Source organism: Homo sapiens, chromosome 9 (assembly GCF_000001405.40).
Source record: "Homo sapiens chromosome 9, GRCh38.p14 Primary Assembly".
NCBI lineage: Eukaryota > Metazoa > Chordata > Mammalia > Primates > Hominidae > Homo > Homo sapiens.
In genome coordinates, this window is record NC_000009.12 from 91,679,565 (window position 1) to 91,700,099 (window position 20,535).

Here is a 20,535-nt window from a genome sequence, read left to right on the forward strand (position 1 = left end):
CTCTGTTTGCTTCCAGAAAAGCAAAGGAATAAAAGGTTTTAAACACTCTACTCTCTTTTTACTGTCCCACTCTTGAATTTTAATAAGTAAGTAATTTCTTCTCATACCCTAATAAGCATGCAGGAAGGATCTCTTGAGGCATAGGAGTAGAATGAAATGAGGTCGATTGATCCTTCGGGCTACCTTATGAAACTCATCTCCAATTTTAATCCACCCACACAGACTGAGCACTTTCTTTTCTTTTCTTCTTTTTTTTTTTTTTTTTTTTTTTTTTTTGTAGACGGAGTCTCGCTCTGTCGCCAGGCTAGAGTGCAGTGGCACAATCTTGACTCACTGCAACCTCCACCTCCCAGGTTCAAGCAATTCTCCTGCTTCAGCCTCCCAAGTAGCTCGGACTACAGGCACACACCACCACACCCAGCTAATTTTTTTGTATTTTTAGTAAGACAGGGTTTCATCATGTTAGCCAGGATGGTCTCGATCTCTTGACCTTGTGATCTGCCCGCCTCAGCCTCCCAAAGTGCTGGGATTACAGGCATGTGCCACCGTGCCCGGCCAGACTGAGCACTTTCTAAGTCTGAACTGAATCCTGGTAACACAGTCCTTACCTTCAGCATGCTGGATAAATGCGTGCTGGTTTCTGCGTCGTCGTGTGTTAACATCTGGATAGGCTCTGGGAGAAGGGAATGGTAAGCCACCGGTTCTAGAGAAGTGGTTGGAAGTCTGTTAGAGGCAGAATCTTCCAGATTCAAAGCTTCCTGGGTGAGTCATTCAGCAAAAAATGTTTTAAAGTTACCTCAACCATATCAGTTAGACTATTTAAGTGAGTCGATTATAAATAATCTGTGGTCTCATATAAAAGTGATTAAAAATCTTATCAGCCCCAGATACTAAAGGACGATTTCATGCTCCCAGGCCTTTAATTTCATACCTAACATGCCAATCGTAGAGTTCTGCCTCAATATGTATTTTTTCATCATGCAAATGAAAGTTTGTGATTTTACTACAACAAAAATTAGTGTAATTCTTTTCATAGTGTTTGTCTCATTCAATATATTGTATTATGACCCCCGTTAGCTTCCAGTAAGCATATGGATTTAATGAAAAGGGGACTCCAGCTCTTGGTAAATTTCTAAATTTACTAGAACTGACTAGTTTTGGTTATTTGATGCCAAAAGAGGGCGTGTCAGACATTAGCCTTCCTGGCAGCCAAACGGCAGTGAACTGGAAGCACTGGGAAAGGCAGGCCGGCGCCCTCAGCCTTGCAGGAAATGTCTGTCTTTGGTGCCCCACCAGCCCCCTTGCCATGGAGCCCTACAGAAACCAGACTTAAAATCTGTTCACGCTGGCCTCGACGTAAAATACAACACCTCACATTTCACACCTTGTTGGCCTATCATGTTTAGTTGGATCCCGTTTCGACTAATATTTTTCCACAGTTGGCTCTTTAAGATGGCATAGAAATTATTTACAACATCAAAGACCTCTGTGACACCATTTCCCCCACCTTCCCCCCGACACCCACTCAACATATCACGTGGCCCCCTCCAAGGCACCAGCACTCACTGGGAGGCTGCGGATGGGCCGCCCCCACTGCTTGCCGCCCCACCCCACCCCAGCAGGAGGGGACCTGGCCGGGGCTGGGGACTGGGGACGTCTGTGCCACGGCCACAGCACGCAGTTCCTTGGGTCACACCCTGCAAAACGAGATGCCAGCATGTCGCCATGGCTTTGCTGGTCCTTCTTGTTGACGATAAAAAGGAACAAGCACTAACTGCTGAAGAAACGCAGGGGATCTCTGCTCTCTTCGCTCCTTTAGTGCCCGAGGTGGAGATGGGCTAGCCTCGGACTCTGGCGGGAGCAGCCTCACGCCATTCCCTTTCTTTAGAATAGTTTTATTCCAGTTCAATTCTTTAGAATAGTTTTTCTAGGCCATTTCCTCTTTTCGAAGGGTCTAATAACCGTGCCTCCTTCATAAGGATATTGTGAGATTACCGAGATGACATGAGTCCTTTAGAGGCTCAGAGGAGGCTTCCGCACACGCGCTCCTTCCCCGGCGCCCGGCTCTCCAGGCACGAGCAGGATCCCTAGAAGCCCCCCAGCTTTTCCCACTTCCCTCCCGGGGGCTGGCACAGAGGCCCCGAATCGCGGTTAGAAATTAAGCATGCGCAAGCACTTCTCTTCACACGAAATAATTCACAGATGAAGAAGCGCCCATAATGGGGCCACCCATCTGTATTAATTGTGAGAAAATACGCTCTCCCACCAGCCAAGGGCGCCGGGAGTCAACACAGGCGCTGCCAAGGCGCAGAGGAGCGGGCGCTGCCAGGACTCGAGCGCCATCTACAGCCCGCGGAGGCGCCGCACGGACCCCACAGGCAGGAAACAGCCTCGGGCAGCCGGGCTGCCAAACTGCACTCCCTCGAGAGAGATCAGTGTAGACGGAGAATTTCAGTCCTTTTGCTAAATTTATATATAATTTTATTTACCAAAATAAAATTTTATTTATAAATGTATAGTACAAATATATGTATTTATACAGAAATATATGCTGTATATATTGCGTGCATGTATATGTGTGTATATATATATTTATGTGTGTGTGTGTTCTTAAATATACTTAAATAGACAAGTGTTTTAAATAGAATCGGTCCGATCTCCAGTGCTGCCACTGAATCTCCGTTTGATCTCTGATGATCGCTAAACTCTGGGAACCCGAGGTCTCCACTTGTCCGCGGAGACTGGTCCCACTTATCCAGCACGGCTGTTGTAGTGATTGAGAGAGATAATGTACATAAAACGCTTACCCCAGAGTCTGAGACAGAGAATTATAACACTATTAAGAATGTGATGACAACCATTTGTTCATGTACCTAGTTATTTAACCAATATCTCTTGAACCTGCTGTGTACCCAGCCCTCGCTGGTTATTGGGGGATACAGCAGTGACCTGGAAAGACAAGGACCCTTCCCTGCTGGAGCTGCAAGCTCAAGTCATCTGACTTTGAGAACAAATAAAACAGGCAGGGGAAAGTAGGAACTAGCGCATGTTTTAGAACCGCGGGTGAGCATTCAACTACAAGTTAATGTAATAGGCCCTGGGAAAGAGTTAATATAAACATTATCTATTTCTTATCTGGATAAAACAAACCCGGTGGAATTGGTTGGAACATTCCAACCATCGTATGCATTAGCCAGGAAAATGACTTTCAGAAATCATCTGTAAGTCAATGTATTAGTTTTCTATTGCTACATAACAATTACTTCAAACATTATTGCTGCTTCAAACAACACGCATGTATCATCTCTCAGGTTCTGGGGGTCGGAGTACAGGCATTGCTCAACCAGGCCTCTGCTCTGGGTCTCTCAGGCTGAAATCATGATGTCCCCAGGGCTTGGTTGTGAAAGCTCCCTGGGGTGGTGTGTTAGACAAAGTTTGTGTCATTGCGTGTCTGGGACTGACTCATGGCAACTTGCTTTTTCAAAGCCAGCCAGGGAGAGAGGGACCAGAGTGAGTGAGCTGGCAACAGAGTCTAATCTAACATACCCTCACCACCGGAGTGACAGCCCATCACCTTTGCCGTATTGTGTCTGCCTAAGCAAGCCACAGGTCTCACGCACAGTCAAGGCAGGGGTCACACAAAGGTGTGAACATCCGGATGTGGGGACCCTGGAGGAGGTCACCTAAGGTTCTGCCCACCACAGACACTGTCACAACTAATTCCCAAAACATATAAAATAGAAAAAGGAAAAAATATAGTGATTATTTCTCAAGTACATCTTATTTCACAAAATAGAGCTAATCCAAGATGTGCCCTGCACCTCACCACAATGATTCCCCCATGTAAATTCTGAAGACTGGGTTCATTACCCAACAATTCAGAATTTTTGCAATGCTAAATTTCATGATGGGTTGCCTGGTCAAGAAAAGCTAGGGCGTTCCAAAAGAAAAATAAACAACAGAATGCATGATGAACTCTCTTAGGACTTGCAGAACCATGTCTCACATATGAAGAGTAATCTCATTTTGTAGATAAATGGAAACTACCTATCAATCAAATATTTACTGACTGGTTTCCTAGGAGGGTGACCCTCAAGTATCCCAGTTCCTCCCCATTATCAGAAGTGAGAGAAAACAGCACTGGTCATGTGGCCTTACAAGCAATTCAGAGGCACAACAAAAAGATGGCATTCTTCTGCATACAGCTCTACTGCCCAGATGATAAGGTTAGTAGATTAGGACTCATTTATTGCGATATAAGAATGTAATTTCTCAACCTGACTTAATGTATCTGCAAACATGACAGCATAAAGAATAAAATATTAAAAATAGAATATATTTGTTTTAAAGAAGCATTTGTGGGTTTTTTTGTGGTTTTTGGTGGTTTTTTGTTTGTTTGTTTGTTTGTTTGTTTTGAGACAGGGTCTCACTCTGCCACCTGGGCTGGAATGCAGTGGCGTGATCTCAGCTCACTGCAACCTCCGCCTCCCAGGTTCAAGTGATTCTCCTGCCTCAACCTCCTGAGTAGCTGGGATTACAGGCGTGTGTCACCACGCCAGGCTAATTTTTGTATGTTTAGTAGACACAGGGTTTCACCATGTTGGCCAGGCTGGTCTCCAACCCCTGGCTTCAAGTGATCCACCTGTCTTGGCCTCCCAAAGTGGTGGGACTACAGGCATGAGCCACCGCGCCCAGCCAAGAAGCATTTGTTTTTAAAATGTGTTTAGAAGAATCAACGAGTGGAGAAAACAGTCTGCAAATAGACTTCTTCCTGTGTTATGCATACTGTGACGGTGTGTCACGGAAGTGCGTTACACTCATAGAGAAACATCAACTTTTAATAAATGGTGCTGGACAATTGCCTATCCTGCAGAAAAATAGGTACGTTTTATTTTCCTACCTCATATCACACACTAAAATAATATATTCTAGATTAAATACCTAAATGTGAAAAGCAAACTTTAAATTTTTTGTAAGAAAATATTGTCTGGTATTTATGAGACATCTGGATGTGGAAAGAATTGTTGAATAAGACACAAGTCATCATGTAAAATCTGGTTAACTCCATTATGTTAAATGTAAAAGATTTCGTGGGCGAGGTATGGTGGCTCATGCCTGTAATCCCAGCACTTTGGGAGGCTGAGGTGGGCAGATCACGAGGTCAGGAGATGGAGACCATCCTGGCTAACATGGTGAAACCCCTTCTCTACTAAAAATACAAAAAATTAGCCAGGTGTGGTGGTACGTGCCTGTAGTCCCAGCTACTCAGGAGGCTGAGGCAGGAGAATCGCTTGAACCTGGGAGGCGGAGGTTGCAGTGAGCCGAGATCGCACCACTGCACTCCAGCCTGAGTGACAGAGAAAAGAAAAAAAGATTTTGTGAGACAGATATTATAAAGAAAGATAAAATTTGAGCAATATACTAGAAAAGATATTTTCAATTCATCTAGCCAGCTAATGATTAGTATCCAGAAGATGTAAAGAGTTCATGTGGGACAATAAGAAAATGACAAACTACTCAGCAGAAATGGCCAGAAAACATGAAGACTCAATTGATGGGAAAACACCCAAATGACCAGAAACTGTGAAAAGGTGTTTGACCTCTCCAGTAATCAGGAAAAAAAAAATGAACACCAAATTAAAAATGTCCATTTAAAAATCTAAATGAGGTGCCATTTCATACATATCCAGTCAGCAAAAGTAGCAGAACAAAAGGACAATACCAGTCACAACAGTTAATATTAGCCGTCAGCTTGACTGGATTAAGAATATCTAGAAGCCTAGTGGCACATTGTTTTTGGGTGTGTCTGTGTGTCTGTGAGGGTGTTTCCAGAGGAGGTTAGAGTGTGTCTCTGTGTGGACTAGGTGGGCAAACTCTGCCTTCAGTGTGGAAGGTACACCGTGCAATCTGCCGGGGCCTCAGAAAGAAGAAAAACAGAGAAAGGGGTCATGTGTCCACCTAGCTGCTGGCATCGGGACACACTCCTCCTCTCCTGTCCTTGGACAACAACTCCAGGATCCCCAGCCTTTGGACTCCAGGACTTAACAGTAATGGCCCCCTGGGTTCCGAGGCTTTTGGCCTCGGATTGAGAGTTACACCCCCGGCTTCCCTCATTCTTAGGCCTCGGGACTTGGGCTGAGCCACGCTACCAGGATCCCAGGGTCTTGACCTTGCAGACAGCCTGTGGTGGGACTTCTTAGCCTCCATAATCACGTGAGCCAATTTCCTGAATAAACCCCCCTCTCATCTGTCTATCTATCTATCTATCTATCTATCTATCTATCTATCTATCTATCTATCTATATTCCGTTGGTTCTGTCTCTCTGGAGAGCCTTGACTAATACACCAGTGTTACAGAATTTATTTCACTTGATGCTGAAATAGTACAGTAAAGAACTTCTGGGGCCAAGTGCGGTGGCTCACGCCTGTAATCCCAGCACTTTGGGAGGCCAAGGCAGGTGGATCACAAGGTCAGAAGGTCGAGACCAGCCTGGCCAATATAGTGAAACCCCATCTCTACTAAAAATACAAAAATTAGCCAGGTGTGGTGGCAGGCACCTGTAGTCCCAGCTACTCAGGAGGCTGAGGCAGGAGAATCACTTGAACCTGGGAGGCGGAGGTTGCAGTGAGCAGAGATCACACCACTGCACTCCAGCCTGGGCTGTCTCAAAAAAAAGGCTCTGTCTCAAAAAAAAAAAAAAAAAAAAAAAAAAAAAAGAACTTCTATAAAGCACAACTTGTGGTTACCACCGTGGAACCACAGATCTCAAAGAAGACCCATGCCCAAGACTGATGTCCCTCTGCATTTTGTCCTTAAGTTTCACCGGGGACGGTAACTGCAAAAGAACATCTTGGGGGAAAAGATAGCCTAGGGGAACAGAAGCAGGCTCTAGGAGACTGTATTGGAAAGAAAGAATGGATGAAATAGGACGTGGTCAGCTCCAAGGAGGAAGCTTCCCTGTCTTGCTCCCCTCCTCTTGTTCCCCACCACCTGCTTCTGTTTGCCTTCATGCCCTCCTACTCTCCACCTACCCCCATCAGTGACCATAGATGTTTCAAACAAGTCTAGTCACGCATTACTTAGCAATGGAAACACATTCTGAGAAATGTGTTGTTAGGTGATTTTGTCATGGTGTGAACATCATAAAGACTTAGCTGGTACAGTCTGCTGCACACTTAGGCTGTATGGCGTGGCCTATTACTCCCAGTCTACAAACCTGCACAGCATGTGACTGTCCTGAATGCTGTAGGCAATTGGAACACAATGGCAAGTACTTGTGTATCTAAACCTGTCTAAACATAGAAAAGGTACAGTAAAAATACAGTGTAAAAGATGAAAAACTGTACAGCTGTATAGGGAACTTAGAATGAACGGAGCTTGCAGGACTGGAAGTTGCTCTGGGTGAGTCAGTGAGCAAATGTGAAGGTGTAGGACATTACTGTACACTACTGTAGATGTTATAAACACTATAAACATAGGCAATGCTAAATTTATGAAGATACTTTTCTTTCTTCAATAATAAAAAATTAGGCCTGGTGTGGTGGCTCATGCCTGTAATCCCAGCACTTTGGAAGGCTGAGGCAGGTGGATCACCTGAGGTCAGGAGTTCAAGACCAGCCTGGCCAACATGGTGAAACCCCGTTTATACTAAAAATACAAAAAATTAGCCAGGCATGGTGGTGTACACCTGTAATCCCAGCTACTCGGGAGGCTGAAGCAGGAGAATCGCTTGAACCAGGAGGCAGAGGTTGAAGAAAGCTGAGATCATACCACTACACTTCAGCCTGGGCAACAGAGTGAGACTCCATCTCAAAAATTAATTAATTAATGAAACTTCGCTTACTGTCACTTATTTACCTTATATGCTTTAATTTTTTAAACTTTTTGACTCTTTTGTAATAACACAGCTTAAAACAAAACACATGGTACACCTGCACAAAAACATTTTGTTTATATCCTTTTTCTATAAGCTTTTGTCTATTTATAAATTTTTTTTTTTTTTTTTTTTTACTTTTTAAACTTTTTGTTAAAAGCTAAGACACACACACACTAGCGTAGGCCTTCACAGGGTCAGGATCATCAATATCACTGTCTTCAACCTCCACATCTTGTCCCTCTGGAAGATCTTCAGGGGCAGTAACACTCTTGGAACTGCCATCATCTGTGATGACAATGCCTTCTGAAATGCCTCCTGAAGCACCTGCCTGAAGCTGTTCTATAGTTAACATTTTTTTAAGATGTAGAAGGAGTACAATCTAAAATAACAATAAAAATCAGAGTAGGCCGGGCGCAGTGGCTCATGCCTGTAATCCCAGCACTTTGGGAGGCCAAGGTGGGTGGATCACAAGGTCAGGAGATCAAGACCATCCTGGCTAACATGGTGAAACCTCGTCTCTACTAAAAATACAAAAAATTAGCAGGGCATGGTGGCAGGCGCCTGTAGTCCCAGCTACTTGGGAGGCTGAGGCAGGAGAATGGCGTGAACCAGGGAGGCGAAGCTTGCAGTGAGCCAAGATCGTGCCACTGCACTCCAGCCTGGGCGACAGAGCAAGACTCCGTCCCCCCAGAAAAAAAAAAAATCAGAGTAGAGTAAGTATAGAAATCAGTAACAAAGCCGTTTATTATCATTATCAAGTATTATGTATTGTACATAATTGTGTATGCTAGACTTTTACACAACTGCCAGGCAACACCTTTCTTTACAGCATCACCACAAACGCGTAACATTTTGCGCTCAGACATTACGATGACCACGACGTCACTAGGAAATAGGAATTTTTCAGCTCCATTACAATCTTATGGGACCACTGTAGTACAGCGCTCCACCATTGGCTCCAACATCATTATGTACGCAGCACGTGACTGTAATAAACATAGGCAAAAATGCTCATGCCCACTAGAAACCCTGGAAATGGAAATGCACAAAAAGATAACTGGGTGGGTTTCACAGGAGAGCACAGAGTGCACCTTTTCACTATTAGAAAAATTGGTTTGTTTAAATGAGACTTATTGAGGGATAATTTGCATATCACACAATTCACTCCTTGCAGGTGTACAGTTGGATGAGTCTTCAGGAAATGCGTCCGATCATGTAGCTACCACCACAGTATGCAGAGATCTAGAAACATTTCTATCACCTCAGAAAGTTCCTTCGTGTCCACCCCTACCCACAAAGCCAAGCCCTCCCGCAACCCAGCCCTCAGCAACCTCTCATCTGTTCTGGGACCTTACAGTTCCACCTCTTCCAGAATGGCATAAGTGGAATCACGTGGTGTATGTGTGAGTACGCACATATGAGTGGACATGTTTACTGCAGCAAATGTGCACTCATGTATGTGTGCAAGAGTGTTTGTGCGTGTGAGCATGTTCCACAACACGCTTCAGTCCTGTGGGCTGGTTTGGGCCTCTTGAGTCACTGGGCACGTGCCCATCAATCTCCCCAAGGCCGAGATCAGACCTGAGTCCAGGCCAGGCCTGCACGGGGTGGAAAATGCCTCCTGGAGGCCCCAACCAGCCAGGCCCACCTCCAGCCCCATGAAGTCTCGCTCTTCTCTGAGCTCTTTCCAGGTTTTCACACTCTCTGCAAGGGCCAAGGACCTGGTTAGGAAGGTGGCCGCAGTGGAAAGAGAAGGAATTGCTTGGGAATTCTGCCAACAAAACCATTCAGAGTGGTTTTGTCAGAGACAAATTTGAGTCACTGGGGCTAGAGGTGGGGAGGTGAGGAGGAGGCAGACATGGGGATATTAATGGGGCACCCTCTCAGCCCTGCAGCATCATCCCTGACACCACCATCCCCTTGCCATTACTACATGGCATCCATATTTTAATCTGAATTTTGAATCATTACTTCATTATTATGTTATTTTTTAATTACAAAATATGTCAAATATACTGAAAAGTACAATAAATATCATCATAGGTACTCATCACCAGATTTAACAAATCTTAATAATTTGTTGTTACTTTTTATTTTTTGAGACGGACGGAGTCTTGCTCTGTCACCCAGGCTGGAGTACACTGTCACAGTCTCAGCTCACTGTAACCTCTGCCTCCTAGGTTCAAGTGATTCTCCTGCCTCAGCCTCCTGAGTAGCTGGGATTATGGGCACCAGCCACTACGTCCAGCTGATTTTTGTATTTTTAGTAGAGATGGGTTTTCGCCATGTTGGCCAGGCTGGTCTCAAACTCCTGACCTCAGGTGATCTGCCGGCCTCAGCCTCCCAAAGTGCTGGGATTACAGGCATGAGCCACCATGGCCAGCCTATTTTATTTCTTATAAAGAAAAATATATATGTAGATATAAAGTTCCTTCTCCAGCTGCCCCACCCCTGACATTTCCTTCCTCAGCCTCTAAGAGCAACCATCCCGACAAAGTTGGTGGGGGTCAGTCATGGGCATGTATTTCACTTTCACTGTATATGTAGGTTTCCATGACACGTTGGGATTTTAACATCTGTATAAATGGTATTATATTGCATGTGTCCTCTATAAATTGCTTAAATTTTTAAATGATTAACTAATTAATTTAGACTTTGTTACTGATTTATATACTTACTCTACTCTGATTTTTATTGTTATTTTAGATTGTACTCCTTCTACGTCTTAAAAAAAATGTTAACTGTAAAACAGCTTCAGGCAGGTGCTTCAGGAGGCATTCCAGAAGGCACTGTCATCACAGGAGATGATGGCAGTTCCAAGCGTATTATTGCCCCTGAAGATCTTCCAGAGGGACAAGATGTGGAGGTTGAAGACAGTGATATTGATGATCCCGACCCTGTGGAGGCCTAGGCTAATGTTTGCCAACATTACAGTTTTGAGATTCATTCATTTTAATATTTTGAGATCTAGTTCATTCATTTTAATGGCTGTAGTATGTAGCAATTTCCATAGAATGAATAAACCATAAATTATCCATCCATCCATTCTCCTAAAGTTAGACATTGAAATTCTGTTTTTTTTTGTTAGTCATTCATTCATCATCGCTGAGCTCCTATTAGGTACTGGGCAATGTTCTAGGGATTATGTCAGTGGGGAAAAAAAATTAGATAGAAACCTCTCCCCTTGTGTAGTGTAGAAATAAACCAAGGACAACCAAGTGAGAGCAGGCAAAGGCTGTTTATACAGAGCTTGCTCTAGCAAGGATGTTAACACCATCACTGGCATTTGGCAGAGATCAAAGGCAGGCAGAGGCCCAGGACAGCTTCACAGTGGAGGAACGGGAAGGTTACAGTGGGCCCTGGTGGAGGCTGTGGGCCTCGGGAAGCTGGAGGTGGCTAACTAGAAGCAGGGATCCAATGACATTGGTTAGGGGGACACATTTGGCTTTCTCTGCTTGGTCCTAAGTTGGAAATGGGGACAAAAATTAGAGAAGCTGTCAGTTATTAATCATGTCCTGGCCATTTGGGCCTGATTATTACAGAGGTAATTGTTTAGCTTCCTGGATTGTCGCCAGAAAGGGCAGTGTGACTTCCTACCAGGCTGACTGACAGCAGGGCTGCCTTCCTGGGTTGTTTACTGTGGGTAAGAGTTTGGTTTTCTGGACAGGTTGCTGCAGGCTGTGAGTCAGAGTGCTATTTTTAGTTTTTAAAAATTAATTAATTAATTTAGACTCAGGGTCTTGCTGTGTTGCCCAGGCTGGAGTGCAGTGGCGCTTCACAGTCATGGTCATAGCTCACTACAGCCTCAAACTCCTGGGTTCAAGTTATCCTCCCTGCCTCAGCCTCCTGAGTAGCTGGGTGCACACCACCACACCCAGCTCAGAATTTTATTTTCATACATGGTCTGACCATAATCCATTTGTATATTTATAGTTTATGTTCTACTTTGGGTGGGGGATGATACGGTTTGGATCTGTGTCCCCACCCAAATCTCACCTTGAATTGTAATCCCCACATGTCGTGGGAGGGAACTGGTGGGAGGTGATTGGATCATGGGGGCAGTTTCCCCCATGCTTTTCTCATGATAGTGAGTTCTCACGAGATCTAATGGTTGAAAAGTGGCAATTTTCCCCACATGCTCTCTCTCCTGCCACCATGTAAGATGTGTTTTGCTTCCTCTCCACCTTCCATCATGACTGTAAGTTTCCTGAAGCCTCCCAAGCCATGGAGAGTTGTGAGTCAATTAAACCTTTTTTCTGTATAAATTACCCAGACTCAGGCAGTTCTTCATAGCAGTGTGAAAATGGACTAATACAGAGGTTGAGGAGGACACACATAATAAACATAAGTGAATACATTTCTAGTGTGTTGGAAGCTGCTAAGTCTTACAGGCAAAAAAAAAAAAAAAAAAACCCAGCAGAAAAAGAGGGGTCTGGATGGTGTGGGTATATGCAGAGGGAAACAGGCTCCCATTTCAGTGGGGATAGGGGTCAGGGCAGACACCACTGAGAAGGCATCTTTGAGCAAAGGCTTCAAGGAGATAAAGAATCAGCTCAATGTACATGTGAGGAAGAGCCCCAGGCAGAGGCCAACATCAACGCTGCTGTTCAAACTTCTCTATGCCTGTTTCCTTGTCCACGGGTGGAAAATTTTCTCAGTGTTATACCGAAAAAGGGAATTGTAGAACATGGAGTATGCAATTCTTAAACTTGTTGATGCTGTCCAATTGCTCTCCAAAGAGGTTGTACCAATGTACCGCTCCACGTTCTGGAAATGAAAGTCTCCATTTCCTCACAGGCCCCCCCAGAGTTGGGGTTTGTCGGACACAGACACTTTGCCTGTGGCAACACCACTTCTCAGAGTCCTGTGGGAAGTCTTATGCTTCAGTTCTTAAGAACCTTCAAAGACAACAATTTGGACTGAAAGAAAACAGTAATATCCATATAACTAAGCTAGCAACCCAAAGTGAAAACCTAAAACATAACATTCTGCTCTTAAAGTCTTCTTCCTGTCAGGGTCATCATGGGGTATGAGTTAAGAAATAGGGCCAGGCACAGTGGCTCACACCTGTAATCCCAGCACTTTGGGAGGCCGAGGTGGATGGATCACCTCAGGTCAGGAGTTGGAGACCAGCCTAGCCAACATGCTGAAACCCCTTCTCTACTAAAAATACAAAAATTAGCTGGGCATGGTGGTGCACACCTGTAATCCCAGCTACTCAGAGGCTGAAGCAGGGGAATCACTTGAACCCGGGAGATGGAAGTTGCAGTGAGCCAAGATCGCACCACTGCACACCTGCCTGGGCAACAGAGTGAGACTCAATCTCAAAAAAAAAAGAAAAAGAAAGAAAGAAAAAGAAATAGGTTTCGTTGTGGGAGTCCACAAACGAAGGATCAGAAAGAGATGAGGTGAGAAGCTGGTTTCTCATCCTCGCACTGCCTTGTGGAGAGGCACTGCCCAAGGAGGCCACTCTGTGAGACATGGGATGGGTTGCTGTCCTGGGGAGGAAACTTGCTCCCTGAACCTTCAAACTTCCAGCCTTTAGAACTGAGAGAATAGACGTCCATTGGTTAAGCCACCCAGTCTGTGGCATTTTGTTACAACAGCCTGAACAAACCGACACTTCGCTACAGGCTGATGAAATTCCTCAATTGGAGGAGTAAAGAGAAAAACCTTAGAAACATACAGACTGGAAAAATGGATTATTTAAAGAAAAAAGAGAGTAAGAGTGGCACAGATTTTCTTGTCTCCCCATGAAGCAAAACTTTTTAAAGAAAATCCCATCCTCATTGTTTTTCTTTGCTCTCTTCCAATTTGCTCGTGACCCCTTGGCCTCTCCACCCAAACTGTCGAAACCTGCGAGGCTGCCACTTGGCTATGTCCACACAGTGAAAGGTCAGGTGTCATCCACGGCGTGGGCACAGCCAATTACTGCCTCCTCCCCATGACACCTTTTCACTTAAGTAATGCTCTCAGTTCTCCTCCTATCTCCCTGGGCACGCCTCCTTACCTCCAGGGCCCTTAAACAATAGAGTGCTAATGACTCAGTTCTCAGGCCTCTTCTATTTTTAAATCTACACTCAGACCCTCAGTGGCATCTCTTCCAGTGTTGCGGCTGGAATACCATCCATATGCCAAAGGCTCCCAAGTGGGTACTTCTAGCCCAAACTTCTACTATGAATTCCAAGCCGTGGAATTGACATTTCCAGTTAAATATCCAACAGGAAACTCTCTAAGCCTGGGTTCCCAGGAATACAGTGCGGGAGGCAATTGGAGAGTTGAGGGAACCAGGAGTGAGGCAGGGACGGAGGGAGAGCAAGCCTGAGGGAAGGAGTTACTGAGCTGCACCGTGTGGAACCATGCACATTCGGTTGGGACCATTGTCAGAGATGTGTGCACAGCAGTACCTCAGGAGAGTCTGTCTACAGGGGAGAATAAAGATTCAGTTCCAGTCTCTTGCAGGTCACACCAAGTGTTAGCACCCCTGCACATGGGGCTGCACCTGTGCATTCACTAGCAAGTCCGAGAGCCTTTCTACCTACAGCAACAGGGAGGCTCCTTGAATGGGCTCCTGGACCCTGGTCTGGCCACGAAATGACAGACTCTTAGCTGGACCTGGTTCTGCAGCTGGGCAGACCTCACCCAGAGAGTCCTCTGATCACAGCTGAGGAAGTGGTCCAGGGCCCTGGACACACCCAGAGAAAAGAATGGGTGCAGAAGGTGTAACAGAGACTCAAGCCTGAGGCTTTTGATCCTCCCTATCTCCATCAACAGGAACCCGTCCTTGCTGAAACCAAACATCTCATCTGATTGTCTCAGTTATCTCATGTTGTCCCATAACCCACTCCAAAACAGTGGTTTGAAACAACCACACTCACCTATTTTGTTCATGAGTCTGAGTGCTCTGGGCCCAGGGTCTGTCATGCGGTTGAAGTCACATGGCAGTGCAGGCTGGGGTCCCGTGGCATAACTGCATAGATTTAAAAAAATCTTTCATTTGAATGCAAACACTGTCCACTCACCATCTGCACTTTTGTGATGGGCAAGTATTAGCATCCACATTTAAGAACATTAGAAGGGTTCTTTGTATTTTTTTTAAAACCACTACTTTATTTTTTTTCAACTTTTAAGATCTGGGGTAAATGTGCAGGATGTGCAGGTTTGTTACACAAGCAAATATTGAGGTATACTTTAAAGCAGGGGTCCCCCACCCCCAGCCTGTTAGGAACTGGGTCACACAGCAGGAGGTGAGAGCCACTGAAGCTCCATCTGTATTTACAGTCACTCCCATTACCTGCATTACTTCCTGAGCTCCGCCTCCTGTCAGATCAGTAGCAGCATTAGATTCTCATAGGAGTGTGAACCCTATTGTGAACTGCGCACGTGAGAGATCTAGGTTGCACACTCTTTATGAGAATCTAATGCCTGATGATTTGTCACCGTCTTCCATCACCCCCAGATAGGACCATCTAGTTGCATGAAAACAAGCCCACGGCTCCCACTGATTCTACATTATGGTGAGTTGTGTAATGATTTCATTATATATTACAATGGAATAATAATAGAAAGAAAGTGCACAATAAATGCAATGTGCTTGAATCGTCGTGAAAAAAATCCCCCGTCCCTTGTCCATGGAAAAATTGTCTTCCACAAAACTGGTCCCTGGTGCCAAAAAGGTTGAGGACCGCTGCTTTAAAGTGTATATAATCTGTATCAATTTAAGGTTATCATTTAGTAAATTTTGACACGTATATACCTGTGTAGCCAACACCACATTCAAGCTACAGACACTTCCATTATGCCTAAAATTCCCACCTACGCTTGTACCCCTGGCTCCAGATACCCCCCAAAAAGCTGCCTAATCACTATAGACCAGTATTTCCTCTTCTAGAACTCCACATGGAATCATACCATATGCACTTTCTGTTTTTGAGACCCATGTGATGTGATGTGTGTGTGTGGTGTGAGATGTGTGTGTGCGTTGTGTGTATGTGTGTGTGATGTGTGGTGTGTGTGTTATGTGTGTGTGTGGTGTGTGTGATGGGTGTGTGGTGTGTGTGTGTGGTGTGTGTGTGGTGTGTGATGTGTGTGTGGTGTGTATGTGTGGTGTGTGTGATGTGTGTGGTGTGTGTGGTGTGTGTGTGATGTGCTTGTGTGTGTGGTGTGTGTGTGGTGTGTGTGTGGTGTGAGTGTGTGTGTGTGTGTGTGTGTGTGTGTGTGTGTTTCATTCCGACTGCTGAGGAGTATTCCATTCCATTGACTGGATATACATTCACCTGTTGATGGACATTTCGTTTGTTTCTCATGTTTGGACACTAGGAATGAGCCTGCTATGAACATTCATGTACAACTCTTTGTGTAGATGTTTTCATTTCTGTTGGGCAAACACCTAGTAGTGGAACTTTCAGGTCATAAAATACTTTAAATTTTCTAAGAAACTGCCAAACAGTGATTGCAGCACCAGCAGGATGTGAATGTCCCATCTTTCATTTGCCTGCACAAAGTCCTGTCCTAACTGTCCTTTAAGGGGGTTGGTGTGATTCTCTCCCCTCCTTCTGAATTGGCTAGGACAGGACTGTCTCTATGTCTGTGTCCCCAGGTCCCTCTGCCCACCAGCCCAGCCTCCAGCATCAAGAACCCTCAGCAATGTTCCTAAAATCCCACGATTCCTCCAGCCCAGCTCTGGTACCCAAGGTGCACAGCGAGTGCCTACTGACTTATTCAATTGCTTCAACTCCTTTTGGAAAATAGAACGTGCAGATATTAACTGATTCTTCAGCAAGGGAGGCTACTGCTGACCTCTTCCTTTATTACTTTCATTTTATACACTTCTCCGGTTTCCCTGCTCTGGCAATACTAACTTTTGAAGAATTTCTCCCCAAAGATAACTTTTAAAAACTGAAGAAGTTAAACTTTAAAAACTAGATTTCAAAAACCTGAGCATTAAAAAAACAAATCTTTGTGCATGGGGGCAGAGGCATTTGTTCTTAGTGCCTAATGTTTATGATATTTGGGAGAATTTTGTCTAAGATTTTCAATAAGCTTCTAGTGAGCAATCTGATTCTTTCTTATATTCTTTTGCCTCTCTATTTATTGTGCTTTGACAGTTCTTTCTTCTAAAACTAACTTTCTTTTTTTTTTTTTTCCTTTTTTTTTTTTTTTTTGAGAAGGAGTCTCGCTCTGTTGCCCAGGCTGGAGTGCAGTGGCAGGATCTCGGCTCACTGCAGCCTCCGCCTCCCGGGTTCAAGCGATTCTCCTGCCTCAGCCTCCTGAGTAGCTGGGATTACAGGTGCGTGCCACCACACCCAGCTAATTTTTTGTATTTTTAGTAGATACCGGGTTTCGCCATTTTAGCCAGGATGGTCTTGAACTCCTGATGTCGTGATCCACCTGCCTCAGCCTCCCAGTGTTGGGATTACAGGCGTGAGCCACCGCGCCTGGCCTCTAAAACTAACTTTCTAAAAGATCCTCCCACTCCAGAATGTTCTGCCTAATGGGATCTCTATTACTTGGGGCTATGAATATAAAATTACAAAGAATAATAATAAATTACATAATAAAACAAATGATGTGTAATATATGCCATTTTAATAACATAAGCTTTCCATCTTGGCATTTAAAAAGCGATTTCACAGCGTTTTAAGAAGTAGAAAACAAGCTTCCCCACTTTGAGGGTAACAAAATTATAAAATTCCATTTTTGGCTGGTGTGTGGTTTTACAGTTAAATTAACATTAAGTAATTGATGATAAAAGAATAAATGGGCCCACATCTCCATAAAGACAAAACCAGCTGGGTTCATCCGCCACGGTTACTCCGGGCTGAGGCTCATTCTTGGGGACCCCCCCACTGTACAGATCCCTGCCAGCCCTTCAGGTCACAGGGATCTTTCTGGGAGCCCCAGAGGACCTGCAGCCCAGGGCCCCTTTGGCCCAGCGGCATCACATCCATCGTGCCAGGACCTGTCCTGGAGGGCACTGTGGCTGGGGGCCCACAGGCAGCTCAAAGGTGCCGCAGCAGGAAGGGCTGGGGAAGGTGGGTGGAGAGGGGGAGCAACCTGCCGGAGGAGCCTCCTCTTCCCCCACACCCTCCCTCAGGACTCACACCCACCTCACTCTACTGCAAGGAGGAGTCCCTATGCTCCCCAGAACCTCTGCACTGCACTCCACACTACAGGGCTGAGACCCTCCTAGCACCTCCAAGTGCAAAGGTCCAGTGGGATTGCAGACAGGGGGGCTGACTGTCACCCCAGGTGTGGCACCTCCAGTCTGCCACCTGGCACTCGTGTTCCCACACCCAGACACTGTCACGGCCCTGGTCTAAATGCCTGCTTTTTCCTAAAGGATGCTTTGGGTTGCTTGATTCCCCTGAGCCTGTTTCCCCAAGTGAAAAGTAGGAACAGTACCTCTTCCCTGTCAGGATTTTGGGGAGGTTGAGGTCGGATTATGTAATTCTAGAATGTCCTGTGTTTATCTCCACAAATTCATCCCGTGTTTACTGCATAATTCCCGGCTCATAACTCCCCTAGCTCTTGCTGTAGTGTTAAAGCACTTTAGGCCTCAAAAGTAAGCCTCAGCAAACAGAATCTCTCTCTCTCTCTCTCTGACCTCCTGCTCTCCTTTCGCCCGATTAGGACCCTACTCTTTCCCTGCCTTTCCGTAAAGAAATTACCTGCCCTACCTTGTCTGACTGTGGCTCACACAGCCCCCATTTCAGAAGGGTCCTGCCCCCTACCCTGGGGGAAGGAGTGCCGCAGAGAGAGGCCAAGAAGAATCTGAACACACAGGCCTTGCCTGGGTTTCCCTCCCAGTCTGTCGTTATTAGATCATGGTCTTTTTTCCAATCACAGTTGTCAATCATGCCTCTTATTAAGCCGCTGAGTTTATGGTAATCTGTCGGTAGTAATTTGTCAGTAGTTAGTCTTAGACCTTAGAAAAATCAGGAGTAAAGGCTACTTTGTACTACAAATTACACAACTTACATGAAAGCCACAAATGACCAAAACTGACTCAAAAAGAGATAGTAAATTTGAATAACCTATAAAAGTAAAAAATGGAGTTAGCAATTGTGACATTATGCTATATATATGTTGGTTTTCAAGCACAGTTCACTCCTGACTCATAACTCTCATAACCCTTATTATAATGTCGGGGTGCTTTAGCCCTCACAAAACAGTCTCTCTCTTGAACTTCTCCCACCCTCCTTCCACCTGCTCCTTTTTCTCTTCCAGGCAGGATTCTTCTCCCACTTGTCTGTCTTGGAGTTGGCCATAAAGAAATTTTTTTTTTTTTTTTTTTGAGGCGGAGCCTCGCTCTGTCGCCCAGGCTGGAGTGCAGTGGCATGATCTCGGCTCACTGCAAGCTCCGCCTCCCAGGTTCACGCCATTCTCCTGCCTCAGCCTCCCGAGTAGCTGGGACTACAGGCGCCCGCCACTACGCCCGGCTAATTTTTTGTGTTTTTAGTAGAGACGGGGTGGCCACAAATAAATTATTTAACCTGCCTTTCTAATTGTGGGTCATAAGACCCCCATTTTGGAAGAGTCCTATCTGATATCCTGGGGGAAGGAGGGATGCTCAGAGAGGCCAAGAAGGATCTGAACACGCAGGCCTTATGGGGTTTCCTGCTCAGTCGGTCAGTATTAGATCATAGGCTTTTTGTCCAATCACATTTCTACATGGTTGTCAATCAGGCCTATCCGATAAAGTCCCCATAAAAAGGCCAGAGAGGACAGGATTTGGAAGCTTCTGGAGAGCTGAACATATGGAGGCCCCCAGAGGGTGGCACACCCGGGGAGGGCATGGAATCTCCGCACCTCGCCCTCCGCATCCCCAATACCTCGCCCCACGCATCTCTTCATCTGTATCCTTTGTAATACCCTTTACGGCAAGCCAGTAAACGAATAAGTGTTTTCCTGAATTCTGTGAGCTACTCCAGCAAATTAATCAAACCCAAAGAGGGGGTTGTGGGACCCTCAACTTGAAGCCAGTCAGTCAGTTCTGGAGACCGGACTTGGGACTGGCATCTGAAGGAGGTGCAGTCTTGCAGGACTGAGCCCTGTGGGATCTGACACTATCTCCAGGTAGACAGTGTCAGAACTGAATTGGAGGATACCTAACTGCTGTCCCCTGCAGAATCCATTGCTTTCTTGGTATGTGGGGAAAAAAAATCCCCACACATTTGGTCATGGAAGTCTTCTGTGTTGATTATTATTGAGTGATATAATTAAAAACAAACAAACAAAAAAAAACCTTTGAGTGTGTTTTTTTCCACTCTCAGAACTTTCAAGAGTCATCCTGGCCAGGCACGGTGGTTCACGCCTGTGATCCCAGCATTTTGGGAGGCTGCGGCAGGCAGATAACTTGAGGACAGGAGTTCGAGACCAGCCTGGCCAACATGGCAAAACCCCGTCTCTACTAAAAATACAAAAATTAGCTGAGAGTGGTGGTGAGCACCTGTAGTCCCAGCTACTCGGGAGGCTGAGGCAGGAGAATCGCTTGAACCCAGGAGGCAGAGGTTGCAGTGAGCCAAGATCGTGCCATTGCACTCCAGCCTGGTGACAGAGCAAGACTCCATCTGAAAAAAAAAAAAAAGGAGTAATTCCAATTTAGAATTCTGAGTTTGTGCAAGGAAGGAAAGGGAGGACAACATTTAGCTCAGAG

The 20,535-nt window shown here is 45.4% G+C and overlaps 2 annotated features.

Moving 5' to 3' along the window:
* Positions 13,606–14,167: an enhancer, noted in NCBI's record as "NANOG hESC enhancer chr9:94455452-94456013 (GRCh37/hg19 assembly coordinates)". NCBI's record gives its function as "activates a minimal SCP1, AML or CMV promoter by ChIP-STARR-seq in naive and primed H9 embryonic stem cells {active_cell/tissue: H9 hESC(naive and primed)}" and the evidence as "EXISTENCE:reporter gene assay evidence [ECO:0000049][PMID:30033119]".
* Positions 13,703–13,997: a silencer, noted in NCBI's record as "tiled region #8875; HepG2 Repressive non-DNase unmatched - State 23:Low, and K562 Repressive non-DNase unmatched - State 22:ReprW". NCBI's record gives its function as "represses a minimal TATA promoter and a strong SV40 promoter by Sharpr-MPRA in HepG2 and K562 cells {active_cell/tissue: HepG2 | K562}" and the evidence as "EXISTENCE:reporter gene assay evidence [ECO:0000049][PMID:27701403]".